The 18,713-nt window shown below is 45.1% G+C and overlaps 1 long non-coding RNA gene across 4 annotated transcripts in view, besides 2 other annotated features; it reads left to right on the plus strand.

Annotated features, from left to right (window-relative positions):
* The window catches only part of LOC101929770 (uncharacterized), a 105,175-nt gene that overhangs the window by 4,041 nt on the left and 82,421 nt on the right, over window positions 1-18,713 (plus strand). The window lies entirely within an intron of this gene.
* Window positions 3,642-3,731: an enhancer, noted in NCBI's record as "active region_24642". NCBI's record gives its function as "activates an Ori minimal core promoter by ATAC-STARR-seq in GM12878 lymphoblastoid cells {active_cell/tissue: GM12878}" and the evidence as "EXISTENCE:reporter gene assay evidence [ECO:0000049][PMID:35858748]".
* Window positions 3,972-4,021: an enhancer, noted in NCBI's record as "active region_24643". NCBI's record gives its function as "activates an Ori minimal core promoter by ATAC-STARR-seq in GM12878 lymphoblastoid cells {active_cell/tissue: GM12878}" and the evidence as "EXISTENCE:reporter gene assay evidence [ECO:0000049][PMID:35858748]".

Here is an 18,713-nt window from a genome sequence, read left to right on the forward strand (position 1 = left end):
AACTCTGTGTGTAGAGAGTGGTGCAGGAGGACTAGGTGGAAACCTGGGGCAGTTAGTGGTTACAGGCAGGCAGAAGGCAACTGGGGCTCTGTTTACAATGGGCAGGTCTATGCAATCCCACCCCCAAAGTCTGAAGAAGCTGAGAGGCTGAAGAAAGAGGCTGACAAATCCAGTTTCTTAGAAACATTTAATAGAGACTTAAGAAAACAAACCATGTTTATGTCTCAGGTGGCAGTGAGAGGAGATGGTGGATCCACGTGCCATTACCCTCCAGACCCAGGGCTTATATACCACAGGGGAGGGGTGGTTCAGAAGGGAAGTGTAGGACAGTTGAAGTATGATAACATCAAGGTTGACCTAAGGGCAGGATTTATAGTAAGTACTTGCTCTTACACAAGGAACAATGGATATGCTGGAAATCTTAGAGGCCGTCCCAGAACTGCGGATAATCAGAAGTCAACATGGTGGGTAGCTTCCAAGATGGAGTTGCTTTGGCCTCCACAGGCTCTAAAGGCGGCTCTGGCCTTACTTGCGGCAGAGGAGAAGCCACACCACAGCAGAATGTTCCTGGCCTAGAGGCTGATACTATAACTCCCTAGTGAGAAAAAACAATCCCCATGGCCGACAAGGACATGGAGGACAGGTACATGTTCCTCTCCTACTATGCCTTCCAGGCACACTCATTCTCTCCAGGCCAGGACAGCAGCATCTGAATCAACCCTGCAGGTAGGCATTCCATTCAAACCCAGCATTTTCCTCTTCTAGGAACTTATTCTGAAGACATAATGAGGGATGCGTATGAGGATATGTATCACAGCATTACTTCTATTTGTGAAAAATCACAGATCATATAAATATCCCACAGGAAAGGATAGATTACATCATTAAATACATGCTGATAGTAAAATCAAATTGTAGATTAATATTTATGGCCAACATTTTTGACATATTATTACATTTTAACTGGCAGGCTACAAACAGTATGACAATTTTTTGTAATGAAAAGAATGGCTATGTGTACATATTTCATAGGAAAACACTAAGTGTGCATGCCAGGAGGTGAAGAGGATTCTTTTCGGGTTGAGGAATTGTGTGAGTGGGTTTTCCCTTTTTTCTTTTTTCAGATATTGCAAGGTTGGTTTGTTTTTACATCGAGTATATATTAGGTTTGTAATTTGAAAAAAGAATTCTTTATGTAAGGGTTACTCATGAATAATATTAGCAAATGCTTGCCTGGTGCTTATTTTATGCCAACCTCTGTTCTGAGTGCTTTTCATGGATTAAGTGATTTAACCCTCACGAGAATTTAGACACGGGAACCATAGCTCAGGAGGGCTGGGCAGGTTGCCCAGGTCAGCAGAGTTGGTATGTGGCAGAGCTAGAATCTGAAGCCAAGCCATCTGCCAACAGGGTCCATGCAATTAACCACTGCACCACATTATTACTCCCCAGTGGAAAAAGACAATCCCCATGGCCAACAAGGACATGCGTGGAAATGCATGTGTTCCTCTCCTGCTATTGGTAGCAGAGGTTCCCTTGATACACCTTGATCCCAAGTGCTCCATGATGGTAGTGCTCAGGTACTATATTCAGTGAATGAATGCAAGTGACAGGTTCCACTTGTCCCCCAGGATCTGAAAAGACAGTCCAGCTTTTGCTAGATTTTGAGCATGACCATGATGGGACTCAAGGAACCTTCCCTCCCTAACTTGGCAGTGGGTGACTTGACTTCCTCACATGCTCTGGAGGATGGTTTTCCACTGAGAAACCTGTCCTGTCTTCTACTTTTCTGGGAGGGTAGAGGATGGCTCAGGGTATCATGGCTCTATCCCCATCGAAGGGGGCAGAGGGGATTCACCAGCTGTGGTAGGTCATTGCTTTGTGGCATTCAATGAACTATGTCTCTTAGAAGTCACACTTTTGTGTGGTCGCTCCTGCATTGACTCTGGAGTTTGCCATGTGGCTTTCTTTGGCCAAAAGGATATTAACAAGCATGATCCAAGCCGTGGCTTTATGAGTGCTTGCGCACTAGGCTTGTCTTCTTAGAACAGTTCCTCTTGGAACCCAGCCACCCTGCTGCTAAAAGGAAGTCCAGACTAGGCCAGTGGATAATGCAGGGACATGGGAGAGAAGCTCTGGAGGATAAGAGGCCATCTTGGACATTCCAGCTTCAAACAAGCTTCCAGATGAAAGCAGCTGCTAAATGAGCCCTGCCAAACCACCCAGCTGAATCCAGTCAACACAGATTCATGAGAAATCATAAATCGTTGTTATAAGCCACTAAATTGGTAGTTTGTTCTGCAGCCACAGGTAACTGAAATACTAGTCTTCTTTTCCTGGACACGCCTGAAAACAGATCCATATATACTTATTAAGTACCCACTGTGTGCCCAGCCCTGTTCTAGGCACTATGGGATAATCATGAAAGGATTCTAAGAAATGAGAATCTGAGGAGACAAGACTGCTACAGGAAGTAAATCTGAAGAAGAATTATGGCTAAACTGCTGCATAGTAAGGAAAGGCGACTGATTTCCCCAACCCAGCCCCCAACATTTCACCTCACAGCAAAGCTGTTGTGGCTGATAAATTTGGCAAACAGGGGTGGCATTGTTGGATACATTGATCTTTTACTTTATTATGATGATGGTTTTGGGCACCTCGGGCCCCCAGCTTTGTTAAATGCTGTTCCTATGGCAGGACAGTATTCTCCATGCACTTAAAGGGGAACCATTTGTGTGACCTTCAGATCAAAGAAGGTAGATGAGATGGAGAATTGAGTGGCCTACTCAGCCGATGGACTGTGACACACCATCATTACTCTTTAATGGGTGGGAGGGGGTCTTGCTAGTGCATCTGCTTGGCTCTGGCTAGGACTGGCCTGCTCACAACTTCATGAATATTCAGTTGCTCCATGAAGGTCCACTGCCTAGAACATTGGAGCAACCCGGAGGGTCATCTGGTCTGATGTTCTCACTGTTGAAAGGAGGAAACTGAGGCCCAGAGGTGAGAAGGGCTCGCTGGAGGGCACACAAGATTTATAGCTCCTCCATCACTGGCGCTGGTGTTAGCCACAGCTCAGCTGTGGTTTGCAGATCCTCTGAGACCCCAAATCCCATGCTCTTTCTCTTACTGCCCTCCACCCTCCTGCTCGGGGCTTGCTTTGGTGGCCAAGCAACCAGGGAACTGAGAAAGTCCACCCAGTTGCAACAAGGCTATATACATTAACCTCTGCTTCAGACAGTATACATGAAACTGCAAAAGTGTGCAGAGACACAGTTCCACTTAAAGCATTTAAAGGTGTCCTGAGGGGAGTGCTTGGGAAAGCAGGCAGACAGCCCATCATTTCACTTTCTCTCTTAGTTTGATTTTCAGTGTGGGTTTTGCTTCTAAGGGGCCATACCTCATACTGCACACTTGAAGGAATGCCAGTTGTGCTTGAAACCCTACACATTCCTGAGCAGCCCCTTTTCCCATCTGGGCCAGTGCAGGTGGATGGCAGGACCCCTGGCCTCAGGAGCCTTGCTGCTGACACTGGCCCTGAGAAGCCTGTTCATAGGGCCTTGTGGAACTGGCCACTTCTTTTCTTTGTTTCTTGATTTTTTTTCACTGAGACCAGATGAGGAGAGCCAAGACTATGGGTAAATTCCACGAATCAAAGATACATCTGGAATCTGCTGGGGAGCCTGGGAGGCTGTTCAAGCCAAGGCATCATCATTTCTCAAATTGGGAAAACACAGGCATGGAGGGGCAAAGGGGTTTTCCCAAGGCCTGGGGCTGGTGGGCTCGATGCCAGGAGAAGACTCAGGGACGATGCTTTCGGCTGGAGGACAGGATGAGTCAGGCCCCCAAGGTGTTTTCCCCACATGGTTTCAGTTCTTAGGTCAGGGTCTTGGCACCTGAAGGAAAACCTGGTCTAGGCCATGTGGAAATCCCGAGCTGCTGCAGCATCTCACTCCGATCGGGCATGTCTGGGAGGCAGCAGGTTGCAAATAAGTGATTTACAGCATGTTCCCTGATGTTTTACATTTTCATCATTTCATGTTGCAGTCCTATCTCCAGTAATGGTATCTGCAAAGGAGTGCAGCTCCCAGCCTGCTATCTGCAGGAGCCCGAGTGGGGAAGCCTGTGTAGTCTCAGGTCTCAGCCTTGACTTTCACGGTGTGACTGTGGTGTCTCAGGACTCTGCGACCCAGGATCATCATTGTGACCATCTTCCTAGTCTTCACTGCTTCCTTTACACCTCAATTCTGAGGACCTGCTCTGAGCCGCACACGGTTCTGGGCTCTAGGAATGGCGGAGGACTTGGGTGCCACGAGAGCACCAGGTAGTAGCTCCAGCTCAGCCTCCCCTAACCCTGACTCAAACAAAACCATCAGATGCATCCCCTACCACTATCTATCTGTCTGAGGATTCTCAGAACCTTTCCACTGGTGGGAATGTAAAGTGATGCAGCCCTGCGGAAAGAAGTTTGGCCATTCCTCAAAAGTATATTATATAGAATTACTATATGACCCGGCAACTCCCCTCCTAGGCATATGCCCAAAAGAATTGAAAGCAAGGACTCAAACAAATACTTGGGCGTACATGCTTATAGGAGCATTATTCACACTAGCCAAAGGTGGGCACAGTTGTCCATCAGCAGATGAATGGCTACACAAGGTGTAGTATATACATACAAAGAAATACTACTATTCAGCCATAAAAAGGAATGGAATTCTGATACATGCAACAACATGGATGAACTTCAGAAACATGCTAAGTTTCTAAGCCAAGCTAACATGCTAAGAAGCCAGACACTGAAGGTCACATATTGTATGATTCTGCTTATATGAAACATCTGGAAAGAGACAGAAAGCACATCAGTGACTGCCAGGGCCTGGGATGAGGAGAACTTGGGAGTGATTGCTTCGTGGGCATGAGTTTTCCCTTTGGGGTGAAGAAAATGTTCTGCAACTAAATAGAGGCAGCAGATGCATGACACTGTGAATGTACTAAGTGCTACTGAATTGTGTTTAAAATGGTTAATTTTATATTATGTGAATTTCACCTCTAAGAATTTTTTTTTCTTTTTTTCTTTTTTTTTTTTTGAGACCAAGTCTCACTCTGTCACCCAGACTGGAGTGCAGTGGTGCAATCTTGGCTCACTGCAACCTCTGCCTCCTGGGTTCAAGTGATTCTCCTGCCTCAGCCTCCCAAGTAGCTGGGACTACAGGTGCCCGATACCACACCACACCTGGCTAATTTTCGTATTTTTAGTAGATATGGGGTTTTGCCATGTTGGCCAGGCTGGTCTTGAACTCCTGACCTCATGTGATCTGCCCACCTCAGCCTCCCAAAGTGCTGGGATTACAGGTATGAGCCAACATGCCTGGCCTAAGAAAAAATTTTAATTAAAACTTGCCGCTGCCTACAAATCTCACAGCACCCTGATGTCACATATATCAGCCGCAACTCCACCTGCTAACCCAGAGCTCCAGATTCCTGACATGAGGTAGTAGGTGAGACTGTTGAGGCAGGAATTTGAAGATTGGCCTGCAGTGGGGCCGCGTGCGGGTCAGGGGGTTGGCACGGGGGCCTCTCTTAGCTAGCGAGTGCACTAGAGGCCTCCCAACACAGGCATCACACCTCGGATCAATTTTGTCCTGTCTCCCTATCCCCATGCTCACTGTAACACTCATAATGTGCTTTGCTGCACCTGGTGGGAGGAGTTAACGATATGTAATAGTGGTAGCTGAGAATTGTGGGGGCTAACATGGCTTCAAAACACTCCCTTTGTCACTGATTGGGAAGTAATGAGAGGTCTAGATCTTTAGCTTGGGCTTCCAAACTCAATGGATGGGCTCAGTTAACTCCCAGCATCACTCCCACCCCTCCGGGAGGACACTCCACTACTCTGGCACTCTCTTGAAGACTCAGATTATTACTTCCTCCACACCAGAGCACCACTCTTCTGTGAAGACTCTTTGGCCCAGCCTCCAGTTTTCCCTTGCTTGCCTGAACTCCTGAGGTCACTGTCTGGGCCTCTTCCCTGGTGTTTATTCTAACTGTGTGTGCATGTAGGTCAGTCATATGAAAGTTTGTCATTTTGGTAGTTAATATCAGCCCTACTTTGTATTTGCTTTAAGAGGAAGTGAAATACATTCGTGCATTTATTTTGTCTTTTGTACTTGGCTGGGATTCTGTAATTAATACTTGCTGTTTAAATGTAGACTGGCTGTACGTGGCTCCCTCGAATCTGACACTAGCATTTCCTCTTGGGCTTGTCACAGGTGATCTGACCTGGGCCTGTCCCCGGACTGATGGCGGCAGCATTGTTAGTGGGAAAGCAGGTGGAGCAGGAGGCTCTGTGGGATTGGGATGTGGACAGTGGGAGATGCCAGGGGCACCCCAGTCTTACCCTGAGAACAGTAAGCCCTTCTCAGCAGGGCTCCTGGCCTTCCCTGGCCAGGCCAGTCCTCAAAAGATACCAGCCAGTCCCTGAAGGAACCCCCTACCCCTCAAGTGCTGCTTTCCAGGAGGGCTGAGAGCAGAGGGCCCTGTCTTGGCTTCTGCGCTGCTGTAGAAGGTCCCCATATTTCCTTCTTTAGATTCTTATATATGCTTCCTGTGACTTTAGGCTTTGGCTTTGGAGCAATGAGGCCTCAGTGTGAAAACTAACAGGGTAAAAAGATGGGGCCTGGCAGAAGGTGGCACATCCGGAGCCTGAGAATGAGCCAATCCCCCGGGGATCTTGTGCAGTGCAGTGCACTTCTGTAGTGCAGTTTTGAAATTGCCTTTCTGACTCAAAGGAAAGCCCTTTGGCCTCCATGTGAGAGCAATGCTGATGATTCTTTGCCCTTCTTTGGCTCTGATATGGGCGGGGGATGGGGAGTATGTGGATGTGAAGCAGTAGGGAGAACAGGCCAGCAGAATAAACAGACAGTGTCAGCCCAGGCCTGGGGTTGTCACTGGAGGAAGGGTTGTACCCTGGGGAGAGGATCATGGGGGTGCCCAGTGACAAGGAGAGAGGTTGGCTCAGGAGGAAGGAGACTGAGAACAAAGAAAGCGAACATCCACACAGAGAGAGAAAGGGAACGTGTGGGGGCAGGGCGAGAACACAGAGACCAGCCTCCCCCTTCCCCACCCTCCTCTCCGCCCCCAGACACTGACGTTCTCAGGCTGCCCTTTCACATATGGGCCTAATTCAGGTAGAGTGAAATCTTGCATTGCTCCGGGTAAAAATTATTGCTTTGGATAATGAAATCTTTGTCATTGGAAACTTTAAAAGAAAAAAATGCCCTTCAAGCCGTGACTTATGGGCAGTGTGGTGATGGAAACGAATTCATCATCCCATTTCCCGCACTGGAATGGGAGGACAAGGTTGATTCATAGCTGGGCCGCGTGCGGCTGGTCCCGCGGGCAGGGTGGCGGCCGGGCCTGCTGAGGAGCCAGCAGGGGAAGCTCCAGCCGAGCGCTGGGGCTGTGGGAGCGGAGTGATAAGCGGCTGGTTGGCACGCTCTGGTCTCAGGTTTTCCTGAGAATTTGCCTGAGCTGTCAAAACATTTTAGGGCTGTGCAGAGACTGTGTGCCTCAACAGAAAAATCCCATAATGGCTCTATGAAACAAGCTGTATTTTTTTCTTTAAACTCTAAAACTCATAGCCATAAAAAAATCTCCCAGCCAAAGCCATTTGACCAGCACGAGTGAACAGTATGGCTGTGAATCTCTCTGACTGTGGCACTTTTCATCTGAGAAGTACAATGTGCTTTCAATTTTATATTTCATTGATGTTCTGGGCTCCCCACAGGGTAAACAAAGGGAACACATCATTGAATGTGTTTGGTAGAAGTGGAGTTCAGCCACAGCCAGTGATCCTGAGCGTGTTGCACATGGAACCAGGAGCCTCCAGTCCCTAGCTCAGGGTCTGGGCCTCATCCCCAGGCCTCTAGCCAGTAGTCCACCTCCAGGCCCTGTGTTCCTTCCATTTCATGACAAGGGTTTGGCCACCTGGAGTCAGGGTCCTGACATCTTTATAGGGCAGAATTGTTTTTGTTTCCCTAAAGCCTAAAGGTCAATGAGCATGAGAGGTTGTAGAAAGGCTGAAGGGAATTCCTGGGCAGACTTGGGGTAGAGGACCTCCAAAGGACCAGGGCAGACTGGTCTGCCAGTTTGGAGACCCACCAGGTAGGGTAGCAGGATCTGGCTTGGACTCCTGTCAGGTGACATCTGGTCCAGTTGTCATTCCTCCCACAGCAATTCTTCATGGGGAAATGGAGTAGAAAAGCTGCCACTGAGGTGGTTGGGCTGTGGAGAGAGGGTTATTGATATGGGCAAGAGATGGCTTTTGCTGGTGTTCAGACTCTGCCGCCTCCTTCACTTTGCCAGATATTTGTATGTGAGTGCTGGCGGACCTAGGCACTGGGGATTTGGGAAAACAGGACAGATACATTCCACTTTCACGTTTAGGGCATGGGGGAGACAATAAGTAATAAACAAATGAGAAAATTTCAAGTTAAGTTCCAAGAAGAAAATATGACAGAGTGAGGAGAGGGAGAGGGCCTGGGGGCTTCTTTGGATTAGGAGGTCAGCAAGGCTTTTGCAAGGAGAAGTCCCCTAAACTTAGTCCCAAAGACAAGATGGGGCCTGCTGTACTGAAACCTAGTGGGAGAGTATTCCAGAACAGCGGCAGAGTCCCTGAGGTGGGAACAGACACACAATTTACCGGCCCCCAGCAGCTGAATATTCTCCCAGAACCCACATGGCACGTGGGAGACTAGGAAGCAGACGTGTGGAGTTTGCATTCTGGCTGCCTGTTTACTTCCTAACTGTGGGGCTTTGAGCAAGTCACTCAACCACTGAGACCCTCAGCTTCCTTATCTGTGAAGTAAAAGGATGACTCTCTCTGGGGCTTACTGTGTGTATTAGAAATGATGTAATGTAAAAGGCTTTAGCACTGCTCCTGGCACCCAGGATTAGTAGCTTTGCTTTATGGCTAAAGGCGCCTTCTAGCCCTCCCAGCTCTGCCTGGTTTCTCATTCCTCATTGCCTGCGAGCAAAAGCCCAGCCTTCTGTGCCAGCCCCTCACACCCTGGCGGTCTCGGTCCAGCCACCTAACATAGGCTCCCTAGAACTCAGGATTGCCTGTTCTCAGGACTCCAAACACCACTGCTTCTGGAACTTTGACAAGGCAGTGGCATGCTCGCTTCCTGCCTGGGTCATGAAGATCCCCTCTCAGAACCACCTGCCCCTCTTGCAGCAGACCCCTCCTGCAGGCCAAGACCTCAGCCAAATCAGAGGCAGCCCAGAAGGAAAGGCAACTTTCTGTGAAGACAGATCCCAGTGCAATCCCAACTCTTCCTCTTGCTATGTGATCTTGACTGATTTATTTAAACTACTGAGTCCAATTGGCCTCATCTGTAAAATAATGGTACTTTCAGAGGTAGGAAATTACTATTTTACCACAACCAGTACCAGTTTCACATGGGAAAGGAATGATCTTAGTTTAGTAAAATGCACAGTAGGTGGGAGGCTGAGGCGGGTGGATCATGAGGTCAGGAGATCGAGACCATCCTGGCTAACACGGTGAAACCCCGTCTCTACTAAAAATACAAAAAATTAGCCGGGCATGGTGGCGGGCGCCTGTAGTCCCAGCTACTCGGGAGGCTGAGGCAGGAGAATGGCGTGAACCCAGGAGGCGGAGGTTGTGGTGAGCCGAGATAGTGCCACTGCAGTCCAGCCTGGGTGAAAGAGTGAGACTCCATCTCAAACAAATAAAAAAAAAAATGCACAGTAGGACATGAGGGTGGGAGGGGCCCCTAGGGGAGGCTGGAGTAAGAAGAGGAATAGGGAACCATCCTAGTCTGCATGAGAAGGGACCAGAATTGGTGGTGGGCTCGGGGAGAGGATTAGAGAAGAGAGGGCTGCAGCAACCAGGAACGGAGGCAGAAGGGTAGGAAATGCCCAGGGGCTTCCTAAGAACTTAAGTCCACTTTTAAATTTCCCTGCATCTTGGAGTGAGATGCACGTTTCCAGCTATTGCCCCTAAATCTTCAGAAAAATCTCTACATCCAACTTCCATGCCTGCTTGTACTCAGAAGCTTGGGGATCAGGGAAAGTTTCTGGGTCTGTGCTGGGAGGTGTCATAGGAAGAGACACAAAATGAAGAAGAAGGATAATTCAGCAGAATTCTGAAATCAGCGCCAGAAGAGGATAGAAGAAGCACCAATCTCTGAGAATTCCCAGAAGTCTTGGTGAGGGCACTGCACATGCCAGGGGGAGGGGTTCAAGACAATCAGGTCTAGATCTTAAGGGACAGATGACCCCGGCTGACACCAGGGTTGGGCCACTTTTTAAGGCACTGGAGGAGAGTCAGCAGCTTCTGTGGGTATTTGTATTCAAAGGGCTCTCTTACAAGACATTCACGGACATTACCCTAGCTGGGGGACTTGGCCCCCTGGTGGTCTCTCTTACCTGGCTTGGGTCAGAGGGTAGGGTTTAGGTGATTTGCTTCCTGAAAGCATGGGGATGCCTAGCTGGTTCCTTAATGCCTTCTGATGCCTCTGTGTCCCCAGTGCAGCCCTGAGGTGTGGGACCAAGCCTCAGAAAACAAATCACATGCACTGAAGCAATTTCTGCTTTGAGTGCTGGTCTGCTCTCCAGACCCACTGGTTATTTGAGTGAGCCAGCGAATGAGTGAAGAGCTGCTCAGGAATTCCATCCTGTCCAAGTGGTTGGAGTGATGCAGCCAGCTTCCAAGAGTGAGCTGAGTCCCCTTCACCTTAACAGCTGCAAGGATGCAGGGGAGTGTTGGTGGAAGAGTGGTGCATCTTTGCACAGAAATTCAGGTTCTAGGCTTGGGCTTAGAGGGAAGCCAGATATTCAGGCCTATCCTTGGCCATCCTGGTAACCAGTACTCTTGGAGGTCCTCCACCTCCCTAGGAGGGCTGCTGGTTCTACTCATGAGGGGAACTCCACAAGCTCCTTTGGATGGGGCTCCTTCCTTCTCTCTGCCCTCTCCTCTACTGCGTGATCCCATTAAGCTGCTCTGGCTCCTGGAAGGCAAAGTCCAGGAAATTCATCGTCTCTAAGCAGACTTTAACCCCAGCCTGTACCACAAGGCTCCCCAGAGGTGCAGGAGCACAGAGAAGCTTCCCACTTGGAACAGAGGGAAAAATACAGCATGAATTCATGTCTCAATGAATTATCCTGCAATCATCTTCATATAAATCACCTCAAATGGCTCAGATGTAGGGGGCTGGTGCAAGTTTGTGTTGCCACAAGAAAGCTTTCCTGGGACATTTGGGAGCCCAGCTCTTTGAACCCAGGATTTAGAGAGGAATTGTAAGCTATATCCCTGGAGACCCCAGCCTCCTTCCTCAGCACTGTCACCTGGGAATGCCACTTCCTTACTCCAAAAAGGCTTCTAGTCCCTGTTGTCTGTTGACCTAAAAGGTAAAGAAGCTGAGGCAAAATTAATATAAGTAGAAAGTTTATTTGGGCCAGGCCTGAGGATTACAACCCAGCAGTATAGATTCAAGTTGTCCTGAGTATACTGTCTAATTAGCAGCAGTTACAAATGGGAAGGAAGAGGCCATTCCTGAGTTGTTTACCAAGACTTTACCTTAAAATAACATAAACTGTTGACTATACATTGTTAAGCTATAGACTGGGTTATAGTTTCTGGTGGAGCATTATTAGGTTACTTTGTAGCTACTAGTGGCAATAGCAAGCAGTTTTAAGAGATGAATACATATCTTAAAAATGGGGTGGGGGAGTAGGATGTGATTGTGGCTATAGTTTCATGCCTCTCTGGGTCTGATAATTTAAAAGGATTTGCGTTTCTCAGATAAATTTTCTTTTATTTTCTCATTTCCCTCTTTTGATCAAAAATATTTCTTCTTGAAAGCATTGATGATCAAAATCTGAGTGTCAAGGTGTCCCTCATTGCTGGGAAGGCTCGATCTTAGGGTAGTCCTGTCAAAGTCATTGATCTATAGCTGCTGTCACTTGTTAAATCATCTCTAGTCTGTAGGGTACCATGAATTTAGTTTTCTTAGAAGTAGTAAAACAATGAGAGATATATAGTAGAAATATAATACACACAAGGACTATAATAAAGAAGAAAATGTGTATGCCAAAATTTTTAATAAACCTATTCCATTGGGGAAGTCAGTTAAACGCATCATGAAGAAAATTAAAGCCTGGTCCTTTTTTAGAGACTTGTATCCAGGAAGTAGTTCAGGATGTAGTCCAAATTGTAGGAAGATAATAAAAACTCAGAAAAATGGACAGGGCTAGAGTCTAATAACAGGTGTACTGTAGTTTTCTTCTGAAACATAATTTTTTTCTGTTTTCAGCCCCCATTTTTACCAACGATAAATCTTAGTAGGACCAATTTATTTGTAAAATAAGTTTTAATGTTATACTTGGTCTGATTACTTGCATAAAGTGCAAGAAAAATGATTGGCCAAATAGGCTCTTTTAGGTTGACTTTGCTGGAACTTTCATAAGGAATTTTGGATTACACTGTTAAAAGTTTTGAGGTTAGGAAATCAAGCCAAGGATTCACCACTAGACTGCCATTGTAATACCTGTAGGAATTGGTAAATTTGTCTCTTCACAAGGTCCCCAAAATATCTTGAGGTTCCCAAACCTGTCTAAAAGTGACATTCTTTACTTACCACAAGGACAGAAATCTTGAAAGGGAACTGTGTAAGATAAGGTTTCAGGCCAGTCTTTCCAAGAGGCTTTTTATCAGCTCTATAAAGTCAACCTCAATTCCTCAAAGCAGTCTGATCATCTCTGAAAATATACCATTCCAGTCAAAGTCTGGCTAAAAACACCACCACCACCAAACAATGTCTTCAGTTGTGTCCTGTTACAGAAAACAGATTCTTATTGAACTAGTGCAGATTACTAGATTGCCATGAAATAAGAATACCCATGAATAATTTCCAAATTTGGGGGAAACAAAGTAGAGAGAAAGGCAAATGTTTTGATTTTGCTTATAAAGATATATTACCCAATTGCTATAACCTATAAATAGCTCAAAAGAAAAATGTATTTTTGACTCTGGAAAACAAAATATAAAAAAAATCAGCAATGTTTGAAATAAAAGGTCTTAAAAATCATTTCAGTTCTTTATCAGTTTAGTGACATGTAATTCATGTTCTGCTTGATGTTGGGTTAGTAATCTTCATGAACACGTTAGTTTATTGAGTTTTGAAGATTTTTACTTAGTCCAGTGGTATGATCTCTGAAGTTATCAGATGTCTGTACTCAAGAGTACTTGTCAGGGTCCCTTTTCATGAATTTCTTTGAAGAAAAAGCAAATTTTGGATTGTAGCAAATTTTTAAAAAAATTTTGTTATTGTACTTCAAGTTCTGGGATACATGTGCAGAATGTGCAGGTTTGTTACATAGGTATACATGTGCCATGGTGGTTTGCTGCACACATCAACTCATCATCTACATTAGGTATATCACCTAATGCTATCCTCCCCTAGCCCCCCATCCCCCGACAGGCCCTGGTGTGTGATGTTCTCCTCCCTGTGTCCACATGTTCTCATTGTTCACCTCCAACTTATGAGTGAGAATATGCGGTGTTTGGTTTTCTGTTCTTGTGTTAGTTTGCTGAGAATGATGGTTTCCAGCTTCATCCATGTCCCTGCAAAGGACATGAACTCATCCTTTTTTTTTTTTTTACAGCTGCATAGTATTCCATGGTGTAGATATACCACGTTTTCTTTAACCAGTCTATTATTGATGGACATTTGGGTTGGGTCCAAGTCTTTGCTATTTTGTGAACAGTGCTGCAATAGCAATAAACATATGTGTGCATGTGTTGTGGTTTTTTATTTTTTTTCTTTTTTGAGATGGAGTCTTGCTCTGTCGCCCAGGCTGGAGTGCAGGGGTGCAATCTTGGCTCACTGCAAGCTCCATCTCCTGGGTTCACGCAATTCTCCTGCCTCCGCCTCCCAAGTAGCTGGGACTACAGGTGCCCACCACCATGCCTGGCTAATTTTTTTTAATTTTTTAGTAGAGACAGGGTTTCACCATGTTAGCCAGGATGGTCTTGATCTCCTGACCCTGCCTTGATCCCCCTGCCTCGGCCTCCCAAAGTGCTGGGATTACAGGTGTGAGCCACTGTGCCCGGCTGCATGTGTTTTTATAGTAGAATGATTTATAATCCTTTGCTGGGTCAAATGGTATTTCTGGTTCTAGATCCCTGAGGAATCGCCACACTGTCTTCCACAATGGTTGAACTAGTTTATACTCCTACCAACATTGTAAAAGAGTTCTGATTTCTCCACATCCTCTCCAGCATCTGTTGTTTCCTGACTTTTTAATAATTGCCATTCTAACTGGTGTGAGATGGTATCTCATTGTGGTTTTGATTTGCATTTCTCTGATGACCAGTGATGATGAGCTTTTTTTCAGATGTTTGTTGGCTGCATAAATGTCTTCTTTTGAGAACTGTCTGTTCATATCCTTCACCACTTTTTGATGGGATTTTTTTTTCTTGTAAATTTGTTTAAGGCCTTTGTAGATTCTGGATATTAGCCCTTTGTCAGATGGATAGATTGCAAAAATGTTCGCCTATTCTGTAGGTTGCCTGTTCACTCTGATGATAGTTTCTTTTGCTGTGCAGAAGCTCTTTAGTTTAATTAGATCCCATTTGCCTATTTTGGCTTTTGTTTCCGTTGCTTTAAACCATTTTTTGTTTTGTTTTGTTTTGTTTTTCAGAAGAATCAAAGTAGAATACTAATTGTCTGTAAATGACAAAAGACTTAGGATAGCTATGGTTAAAGACAAAATTGACAAGGAAATTTGGTTATTCCTGTGGCATACAGCAGTTTAATCATAATCATGACTGATTTCATATACCAAGACATATCTGAAGTGGAATCTCCTACAATTTTGGAACATATTAACATAGCTATACAAATATAACTCAAAGTTAAATACTATTTCTTATTTGACAGTGCTTCCCATATGATTTTAATATACCAAATAAGCCTAATATATCTCTCTTGGACTTCCAGGGTTTTCTTCTGGAAAAGACTTAATTTTAGAATTTTAAATTTGATTTTGGGAGTATGTCAGATACTGAAGGTTTAAAATATTTGATCAAAATAGGATTACAGGCCACTAATAATAGTCATTCATTTAACCAAAGTGATAATTCAAATATTTCTGAAAGCAAAAACCTTCTTTGCATATAAATAGGACCAAAAAACCACAAAAAACAACACCTTTACTCTTTGATAGAGAGGAGACTCAGTTTTCCAAGCAATCAAAAGACCTAATAAAGACAGCATTGGATGAAAAAATGTCTTTCCCTCTTTTTTCCACTCAGAAGGTGAACAAAAAATTAATCCTTATTAGTACTTCACAAAAATATTGTTCAAAAGAGAAAAACAAATCTTACCTTTGCATCAGTGTATTATTAATGTAAAGCTAATTTTAATTAAACTTTATAAACAAATCTATCCAGATGTTTATTTACAAGATGGCTGAATAGGAACAGCTCCAGTCTACAGCTCCCAGCATGAGTGACGCAGAAGACTGGTGATTTCTGCATTTCCAACTGAGGTACCAGGTTCATCTCACTGGGGCTTGTCGGACAGTGGGGGCAGGACAGTGAGTGCAGCCCACTGAGTGTGAGCTAAAGCAGGGCAAGGCATCACCTCACCTGAGAAGCACAGGGGGTCGGGGAATTCCCTCTCCTAGCCAAGGGAAGGGGTGAGAGATGGCACCTGGAAAATCGGGTCACTCCCACCCTAGCACTGTGCTTTTCCAATGGTCTTAGCAAACAGCACACCAGGAGATTATATCCCACGCATGGCTCAGAGGGTCCCATGCCCACGGAGCCTCACTCTTTGCTAGCACGGCAGTCTGAGATCAAACTGCAAGGCGGCAGCAAGGCTGGGGGAGGGGCACCCACCATTGCTGAGACTTGAGTAGGTAAGCAAAGCTTCTGGGAAGCTTGAACTCGGTGGAGCCCACTGCAGCTCAAGGAGGCCTGCCTGCTTCTGTGGACCCCACCTCTGGGGGCAGGGCATAGCTGAACAAAAGGCAGCAGAAACCTCTGCAGACTTAAATGTCCCTGTCTGACAGCTTTGAAGAGAGTAGTGGTTCTCCCAGCATGGAGTTTGAGATCTGAGAACGGACAGACTGCCTCCTCAAGTGGGTCCCTGACCCCCAAGTAGGCTAACTGGGAGGCACCCCCCAGTAGGGGTAGACTGACACCTCACACGGCCAGGTACCCCTCTGAGACGAAGCTTCCAGAGGAATGATCAGGCAGGAAAACTTGCTGTTCAGCAATATTTGCTGTTCTGCAGCCTCCATTGCTGATACACAGGCAAACAGGGTCTGGAGTGGACCTCCAGCAAACTCCAACAGACCTGCTTCTGAGGGTCCTGACTGTTAGAAGGAAAACTAACAAACAGAAAGGACATCCACACCAAAACCCCATCTGTACGTCACCATCATCAAAGACCAAAGGTAGATAAAACCACAAAGTTGGGGAAAAAACAGAGCAGAAAAGCTGAAAATTCTAAAAATCAGAGCGCCTCTCCCACTCCAAAGGAACGCAGCTCCTCACCAGCAACAGAACAAAGCTGGACAGAAAATGACTTTGATGAGTTGAGAGAAGAAGGCTTCAGGTGATCAAATTTCTCTGAGCTAAGTTTGAACCCATTGCAAAGAAGCTAAAAACCTTGAAAAAAGATTAGACGAATGGCTAACTAGAATAACCAGTGTAGAGAAGTCCTTAAATGACCTGATGGAGCTGAAAATCATGGCACAAGAACTATGTGACAAATGCACAAGCTTCAGTAGCTGATTTGATCAACTGGAAGAAACGGTATCAGTGATTGAAGATCAAATGAATGAAGTGAAGTGAGAAGAGAAGTTTAGAGAAAAAAGAGTAAAAAGGAATGAACAAAGCCTCCAAGAAATATAGGACTCTGTGAGAAGAGCAAATCTACATCTGATTGGTGTTCCTGAAAGTGACGGGGAGAATGGAACCAAGTTGGAAAACACTCTGCAGGATATTATCCAGGAGAACTTCCCCAACGTAGCAAGGCAGGCCAACATTCAAATTCAGGAAATACAGAGAATGCCACAAAGATACTCCTCAAGAAGAGCAACTCCAAGACACATAATTTTCAGATTCACCAAAGTTGAAATGAAGGAAAAAATGTTAAGGGCAGCCAGAGAGAAAGGTCCGGTTACCCACAAAGGGAAGCCCATCAGACTAACAGCTGATCTCTTGGCAGAAACTCTACAAGCCAGAAGAGACTGGGGGCCAATATTCAACATTCTTAAAGAAAAGAATTTTCAACCCAGAATTTCATATCCAGCCAAACAAAGCTTTATAAGTGAAGGAGAAATAAAATTCTTTACAGACAAGCAAATGCTGAGAGACTTTGTCAACACCAGGCCTGCCCTACAAGAGCTCCTGAAGGAAGCACTAAACATGGAAAGGAACAACCAGTACCAGCCACTGCAAAAACATGACAAATTGTAAAGACCATCGAGGCTAGGAAGAAACTGCATCAACTAACGAGCAAAATAACCAGCTAACATCATAATGACAGGATGAAATTCACACATAACAATATTAACCTTAAATGAAAATGGGTTAAATGCTCCAATTAAAAGACACAGACTGGCATTTCGGATAAACAGTCAAGACCCATCAGTGTGCTGTATTCAGGAGACCCATCTCACATGCAGAGACACACATAAGCTCAAAATAAAGGGATGGAGGAAGATCTACCAAGCAAATGGAAAACAAAGGTAGGGGTTGCAATCCTAGTCTCTGATAAAACAGACTTTAAACCAACAAAGATCAAAAGAGACAAAGAAGGCCATTACATAATGGTAAAGGGATCAATTCAACAAGAAGAGCTAACTATCCTAAATATATATGCACCCAATACAGGAGCACCCAGATTCATAAAGCAAGTCCTTAGAGATCCACAAAGAGATTTAGATTCCTACACAATAATAATGAGAGACTTTAACACCCCACTGTCAACATGAGACAGATCAACGAGACAGAAAGTTAACAAAGATATCCAGGAATTGAACTCAGCTCTGCACCAAGTGGACCTAAAGACAGCTACAGAATTCTCCACCCCAAATCAACAGAATATACGTTCTTCTCAGCACCACATCGCACTTATTCCAAAACTGACCACACAGTTGGAAGTAAAGCACTCCTCAGCAAATGTAAAAGAACAGAAATTATGAGAAACTGTCTCTCAGACCACAGTGCAATCAAATTAGAAGTCAGGATTAAGAATCCCACTCAAAACCGCTCAACTACATGGAAACTGAACAACCTGCTCCTGAATGAATACTGGGTACATAACAAAATGAAGGCAGAAATAAAGATGTTCTTTGAAACCAATGAGAACAAAGACACAACATACCAGGATCTCTGGGACACATTTAAAGCAGTGTGTAGAGGGAAATTTATAGCACTAAATGCCCACAAGAAAAAGCAGGAAAGATCTAAAATTGACACCCTAACATCACAATTAAAAGAACTAGATAAGCAAGAGCAAACATATTCAAAAGCTAGCAGAAGGCAAGAAATAACTAAGATCAGAGCAGAACTGAAAGAGATAGAGACACAAAAACCCTTCAAAAAATCAATGAATCCAGGAGCTGGTTTTCTGAAAAGATCGACAAAATTGATAGACCACTATCAAGACTAATAA

The sequence above is a fragment of the Homo sapiens genome, chromosome 6 (assembly GCF_000001405.40).
Source record: "Homo sapiens chromosome 6, GRCh38.p14 Primary Assembly".
Lineage (NCBI taxonomy): Eukaryota > Metazoa > Chordata > Mammalia > Primates > Hominidae > Homo > Homo sapiens.